Consider the following 7,784-nt stretch of genomic DNA (forward strand, 5'->3'; position numbering starts at 1 on the left):
TATTTGAGTGGCAGTGTTTCCCTCATAGATGATACTGCATGGCATTTAGTGGTACTTATATTAGTGTGTGTATATGTGCTTTTGGGTGTACAATTCCTTCAAGCAACAATTGAAGGATGGAGGTGAAGGAGATATTTGAGGTTATCTTTTGATTTGCTGAAATGTGGTAGTTTTCCTTTTTGTTATAACTTTGTTATAATGAAATGAGAATTAGAATCAAGAATGGCTCACAAATGGAAATCATCTGATAAGATGTGTGAATACAAGCTTTTTGCCAATTAAAGGTTCTAGTCACGATGACCTTTAATATATTTTTTCTCTTTCTTTAGGATTAAAGTATGTTAATTCCTTATGCATAATTTTAAATCTCAATTCTATTTGAGATCGTAGTGCTCTGTATCTCTACTTCTGCTTTTTAAAATAACAGCTGCTTACTTGAAGACTGCAGTTAGTTGAAAATATATCTATCTTCAGTTTATAGCTTTTGTGCTTTTCTTGGTGGACAGATGTCTTCAGTTTTCTCGTGATTTCCCTCCAAAATTCTATATTAATGCTCAAGACAAAAAAAGAGAATAAAGGGATATTTCCCAAAGCTAGATACCAAGTTTATATTAGTCTTTAAATTTGTCTCAAATTGATTTAGACTTATATTTTATTTATAGGCATCTAATTTCTTTGTCATACACCCTTAAAATATAAGTGTTTCCTGACTTATATTGAAAATATCTTCTAAATAAATTCTAAGCATTAATCTATAATTTTTGAAAAAATAACGCTCTTTCAAGATTAAAGGTAGTACAGTTATCTAATTTAGGACCGAAACATCCATTTTGCTTTCCCATTGTAAACGAAATTTCCTTGAAGTTAAATTTGTCAGTAGCAGCAATTCTTTTTTAAAAATTGTTTTTGTTGCTAATTTGTATCATACAGCTAAAAGTATTCATGGATATATAGTTAAAAAACAAGAAAACCTCAAAAGATCTCTATTTTTAGAAAATTCAGTTTAAATAATGTTGGGCAAATTTGGAGGATCATATATTACTGTTATGAATGAAGCAATATGAAAGGTAAAAACAAAGTTGGCACCTTGTTTCTGAGTCCATTTACTAGGCAAACCCTTGAAATATGTACTGTTTTGTAAAAAATGTACATTTTACTACATCAACTAACACATGTGGGCTAAAGTGGAATTAACATGCCACTGATGTACACACAAATTCAAGCCCTCTGTGTGACATAAATTCAAATAAATACCAATTAATGAAATTTTTAAAATTCAAAGAAAAATGAATGAAGCTATTTGAGAGGTAGTGTACATCTATCTAAGTTAGTTTCATGTAAAGAAGAGTTTCTTGGAAAACATTGTACATCTTTTGCAGTATAAACGTAAAGCAATCAAAATCATTTTTAATTAAAGCTCTTTTTCAGTTCACTAAGGAATACGGAGAGAATGCCAAACTGTGTTAATGTACTCCATTATGACTTTGACTATATTTTACAACTTGAAAAATTTTCATTTTTATGGTGCCATCAGCCTGCTACTTAATAGAAAATGTTTTATTGACATTTATGTTCTTTACCTAATGATGTGTATTTAAATGATGGCTGTCATCTTCATTAGAACTGACTGTTGAAAGAGTAATAAGAATGAGAATACAGAAACCTGGTCTCATTTTAATTGTACAAACTGAGAACATAACATTGGGCTGAACATTTCACCAATTTGACTACAACATTTAATTTAAAAATAATATATATCTCCAATATTGTATGATCATTATTATTGTGATTTATTATGCTTACTGACACATGAAATATATGTATATATGTATATTTATATGTGTTGTTTTCTATTTGTTCTTAAAAATAAATGTGCTGGCCGGGCGGGGTGGCTCACGCCTGTAATCCCAGCACTTTGGGAGGCTGAGGCAGGCGGATCACAAAGTCAGGAGATCGAGACCATCCTGGCTAACACGGTGAAACCCCGTCTCTACTAAAAATACAAAAAATTAGCCGGGCGTGGTGGCGGGCGCCTGTAGTCCCAGCTACTGGGGAGGCTGAGGCAGGAGAATGGCGTCAACCCGGGAGGCGGAGCTTGCAGTGAGTGGAGATCGCGCCACTGCACTCCAGGCTGGGAGACAGAGGGAGACTCCGTCTCAAAAAAAAAAAAAAAAAAAAAAAAGTGCGTATTAATTATTTTAAAACTTTTCATCTGAATGTATTAATTGCATCAATGATTATCAGAAAAATATTAGGCTTGGTATAGAAGTTATTCCAAAGACACAATCTGCTAATATGCCCAGTATTGATTAATATGTATCAATAGAAGTCATTTAGATGTATAATGGATGATCACAAAAATCCTGTTCCTTCAAACAAGTGTTGAATTGTAAGCTATTTTCAGCTTTTATTTAGTTAATTTTTATTAACATTAAACAAGGCAGTAAGAAAATGATTCATTACAGTCACCATTCTATTTCTTGTCAAATTATAATTTGTGGTTTTTTGCTCTTAAAGATATGTTCAGCACTATGTTCTTAAATAAAAAAAAAGTTGTCAAAGTTTTTGTGATCTAGAATAAAGAATCTAAAAAAATTGTACTAAAGAAATTGTATTCAACCTTTACTTCTGTAACTAGCAATACAGTATAGTTTAACTTATTTTTGTAGTGAAGTATTGAATAGAAAACAAATAATATTTACTTCTAAAATGTAACATACATATACTCTATTTCAACTTATTGAGGACATTTATATTTTTCCAGTATAATACCTAATTAGAATTTCTATCATGTCTTCATATTCAGTTATGACTTTATTATTCTGTCCTATGTATTTACCTTACATATAATGCCATTGTTGCATTGATGTACTGTTTTGTAATTATTTGCTTTTGATCCTGTAGTAGAGAGTGTTCAAAATGGCTCCCAATGGTTCCTGTCTCCTGTATAGCCTACTCACATATTGAATCATGGTTGTTCCTGTGTGATAAAATGAATACAAAGTAAATGATAATGTTTCACTTCTTAGGCTAGGTCATAAAATCCAATGTCATTTCTGTTTTGATTTCTTGACTTATCTGCTCTGGGAAAAACCAACTGCCATGTCATGAGGAAGGTCAAGCAGCCCAGTAGAGAGGCCTAGGAGGAAAGAAGCAAAGAACTCCATAAACACCATCATTAACATTTTAGCCATTTACATGGACACTGTCAGACACTTTAGCCTAATCTGACTGTGACTTCATGAGAGACTCCAAGTCCGGTCTACTCAGTGTAGCCACTCTTGATTTTCTGGCCCACAGAAACTATGAGCTACAGTAAATTAATATTGTCATTTTAAGTCATTTTATTTTTGGAGTGAGTTGTTAAACAGCCATACGTAACTAATAAAATGTTTTAATTTCTATAAGTTTTTTGGACATATGGACTGTAATTATTTTCTTTTCTGTATTGCAGATACTTAACACAATGCTAGCCACAAAGTGGAAGCTCACTTAATGTTGGCTGAATTTAAATAAATAAATGTAAATATAATCTCCTTGTTGGTGCTATAGGTTTAGAAGGGGCTTAAAAAAGCAGTAAACATCTATTATTCAAAATTGGCAGAAAAAATTGTCCAACATCAGCTTGGCCAAAAAACTTAAGATTTTAGGCAACAAGGCAATTGATCTAGTTATTCTGATTTAAAAAAATTAACTATCTTAGTAAGCCTAGTCACAAAACGTTCTACTCAAAATTAAATATTTCCTAAGAACTATCTAAAATCTTTAAATGGTCAAGAAAGTTAATTTGTAATGCCTACACTTGATTTTCATCCCCAGTTTTGTTTTGTTTTGTTTTTTCTGATTCTATGGCAGAAATTATTTTTTTGGATCTCAGCTCTTCAGGCATATTAACCAGAAACAAGTAAAAAATAAAAACTATACAAGTAAGGCTTAAATTAATTCTGACAAGCTGTAAATGCTTTTTCTGAATAGATTTTGAGAAAACTGGATTAATTCTACTTAAAAGTAATGACTCTTCATTAATAAAGTTTTAGAATTATTTTTCTTTTATTGAGATGTTCTAAGAATTATTCATATGTAGAATGTTTCTGTATTATAAACATTTTATTAGATACCAATATTAGATATTATATATTATTATAATTGATTCTAGAAGTAGACAATTCTTTTGGATGAAAGAGAAAAACTAAATAATTTTACCAGTTTAAGGTAGAAACAAGATACAAAAAAGATGTGAACCGGGAACAAGAATAAACCTATTATCTAAACACAGGTATAATAATTTTATTTTAAGTGTCTGTCAATCAACTGATGACAAATGATTGGGATTTGATACTAGAATGCCTAATATATCACATACATTTTATCAATTATTTAAATCAAAAAAGGGTTTATCTCTAATATTGTTTGCCTTTCAATGAGTCATTTTTATTGTCATTCTAAATTCTCATGTTACCAAACGACTTCGAATATCTTTAAAAAGAGAGTCCTAAGCTTCAGTGAACTCTGGTAGCGTTTGTTACTGTCCTACAAGAATGAGCCCAGATTGGACGAAGACTTGCATAATTAATTCTCTAACATGGAAGCACCGTTTTGAGTCAACTTTGCATAAATATACCATTGATTTGCAGATTTACTAATTACACCTTCTTATTGTGAATATGTCTGAGGCCTTTTAAAAAAATTAAATTTTGTCCATTTGATACTATAATTTGATTATTTCATAATCAATATAAATAAGACTAAGAAAATAAAGTAATGGTTTCTGTGAAAGAGTAATTTGTTTAATGCCTGAACAGAGGAAAAGACCACAAAGCCAATGATATAAAAACAAAACAACTCACCAATTCATTTTATTGGCTATTAGTAGATGCGGTCATGTTAAGGTGGAGAATGAAACTAGAAGTGAAGAGAATATTATGGTGAACAACAAAGTAAATTGGAGATAAAAATGTAGAGAGATTTAAACATGATCAATAATATATATTCCTTAACTGTCCCCCAAACCAACTTTAACTTTCAGACTTTAAAGATCCCATTTTCTTCCTTCCCTTTTTTCTTTCCTTTTTTTTTCCCTCTTTTTCTTTTTTTTTTTTTTTTTTTTTTGAGCTCTGCTGCCCAGGCTGGAGTGCAGTGGCGCGATCTTGGCTCACTGTAAGCTCCACCTCCCGGGTTCACGCCATTCTCCTGCCTCAGCCTCCCGAGTAGCTGGGACTACAGGTGCCCGCCACCATGCCCGGCTAATTTTTGTATTTTTAATAGAGATTGGGTTTCACCGTGTTAGCCAGGATGGTCTTGATCTCCTGACCTCATGATCCACTCGCCTCGGCCTCCCAAAGTGCTGGTATTACAGGCGTGAGCCACCTCGCCCGGCCTCTTCCTTCCCTTTTTTCTACCATCAAAAATAATAAATTGTCTAAAAGATTTTCTTGGCAGCTAAATACGAATGAAATCCCTCATTTTTGTCTTTTTATTGTTCAGGTGACAATATACAAACTCATCAGTTGCAAGTAAGCTAATTAAATATTAATAATACATATTGATTATTAATGTATATCTCTGAAACTTTTTTCTTAATCTAGTTTAGTCTATTAAAAAAGAACCTTTTCTCTTTGTACTTATTTGTACCTTGGGATAGTTAAATACACTCCTACAGCCACGTTCCCTAATGTGCTTCTTTAATTTTCAAAAGATTCGGCTTCTTATATTCTTGGTAGAGAATATAGCTCAACCCACTATTTAATATATTTTATGATCTTTATGTGAAAGCTACTGCTAGTTAGCTTTAATTAGCTTTGCCAGCCACTTTACACTTCAATGTTGTATTTGTTTTATAATTATTGTGTTAATTTGTTTATTATTTAGTGTCTACCCATTATAGTATCAGGCATATGAGGTAAGAAGCTTTGTCCCAAAACTTACCACAGTGACCGACTTGTACTACGTGCTTAATAAACATTTGTTGAATAAATAAAATCATCAGTACACTGTGAACATAATAAAACCAACTCAACACATTTAGAAGTACAGTGATTAATTGATGTTAAAATATTGGCAGTATAGAATATCTTTATAATGGCTGACATGGGGGGGGTGTCATGTACAATGTGTGACATTTATATCCCTGCAAAACTGTTGATCAGAAACTCAACTCATATTAAAATCACAGAAGTGATTTCCAGACATTGAGTCCAATCCTGGGTAGCCTCAGCCTGGAGGCCTATCCTGCTGATCTTTTTATCTAACTTAACTCCTCTTGGAAAAGGGAGTACAAATAAAATATCAACAAAATGGTTAAGTGATACCTTTTTTTCTTTGTCAAAGTTAAGGGTTGAAAGGTATCAAAATTATCCTCTAACTGTATTTTTAAAATGGAGAACTGGGGCCATGAAATCCTCAGAATGTTATGTGGAAGAGCTGGGGGTTGAAGCTTTTTTGTGCAAATGCTGCTAGCACAATTAAACAATGTGTTTCTGCTTGAACATGGACGATAACGATGTTTTAGAAACAATGGGAAGTGAATAGTTTACATCTTTACTTCCATACAAAAACATATATCTTTGAAAATAATACCTACTAATGAGACATCAGAATGAAGATAAAATTAGTGACACAAAGCATTTTCACACATTTGAGAGAAAAACAGGAAGCAGAAAACACAAATCACATAACAAAATGCAGTACATTATTTTAATATAATGAAACATAATGAGATTCTGGAGTAAAATAATATTAAAAAGTACATACATTAGATATTTTATTTGAACTTTTGACATTAAGGAAATATGCACCTATATATGACTTAATATGCCCCCATGGTTCCTCTTTAATATAACACATAAAGTATGAACATTTTCCCACTGTCTACATACTTTTGCAAAATTAAGTCACATTAGAGTAGGTAAAGAATATAATTTCCCTCGATTTTAACTCCTAAGTTCCTGTGTTCTGGTATTTTGAAGATAATGTTATAATTAATATATTTCAATGTATAAAAGATTTTAAAATATTTATAAGTATGTAATATACTTAATACATAAAGCCTCTCTATTCAACATCTTCCCAAGTGATTCAGGAATAGCAACTTTATTTTGCAATTTTGAAAGTAGAATACTTTTAAAGTATTTAAACTATGTTTCATTATATACAATTTATATGCATGTGATCTCAAAATAATCTAAAATATCTAAAACCCTTGAGAGAGGCCTTCTCATTGTAAGCTTTAGAGAAACTGGCAGATGTCAGGGAAGATACATTGAGGCAGTGAGTTGCTTTCTATTACATTCGATTCAAAATAGAACAAAAAGTCACAGTTTTTTTGTTGTTGTTTTGTTTTCTACAAGACAAAAATCAAATAAAGAACTCCTCTCAGACTCAAAAACACATATTGGAGCTACAAACTAATACACATCGCAGCAAATTAATAATGGAACATGCCTACCAGCAGAAATTTGACATTTGCTACTTCATTCAGCAAACATTTGAGTCACTGAGGTTTCAGAAACACAATCCCAATTTAAAAGAACATATAATGATGAGAAAGACACACAGACATTTGATGGGGCAAACATTATTTACATATGGGTATCTGAAGAGAGGATTCTTACCATTCAGGCTTAACTTTAATCCTTTCTTCTCCCTTTCCATCCTCTACCCACTTCTTACACTTATTGAGACAAGAAGACAAATCGCTGAAGTCAGATACTGCAACAAAATGACAACGGGCATTAGAAGAAGAAAAACGCTCCCTCATCACAATGGAGCAAGAGTGTTGCATAGTG

At 32.0% G+C, this 7,784-nt stretch overlaps 1 long non-coding RNA gene across 1 annotated transcript; it reads right to left on the bottom strand.

Moving 5' to 3' along the window:
* Positions 1-439: 439 nt before the first annotated feature.
* LINC02378 (long intergenic non-protein coding RNA 2378) lies at positions 440-7,695 on the bottom strand. The gene is made up of 5 exons (NR_146522.1): positions 7,611-7,695; positions 4,848-4,902; positions 3,079-3,139; positions 2,840-2,984; positions 440-553 (listed from the first exon to the last, which is right to left on the bottom strand). It is a non-coding gene; the product is annotated as a long intergenic non-protein coding RNA 2378 (long non-coding RNA).
* Positions 7,696-7,784: the final 89 nt, after the last annotated feature.

The sequence above is a fragment of the Homo sapiens genome, chromosome 12, assembly GCF_000001405.40.
Source record: "Homo sapiens chromosome 12, GRCh38.p14 Primary Assembly".
Taxonomy (NCBI): domain Eukaryota; kingdom Metazoa; phylum Chordata; class Mammalia; order Primates; family Hominidae; genus Homo; species Homo sapiens.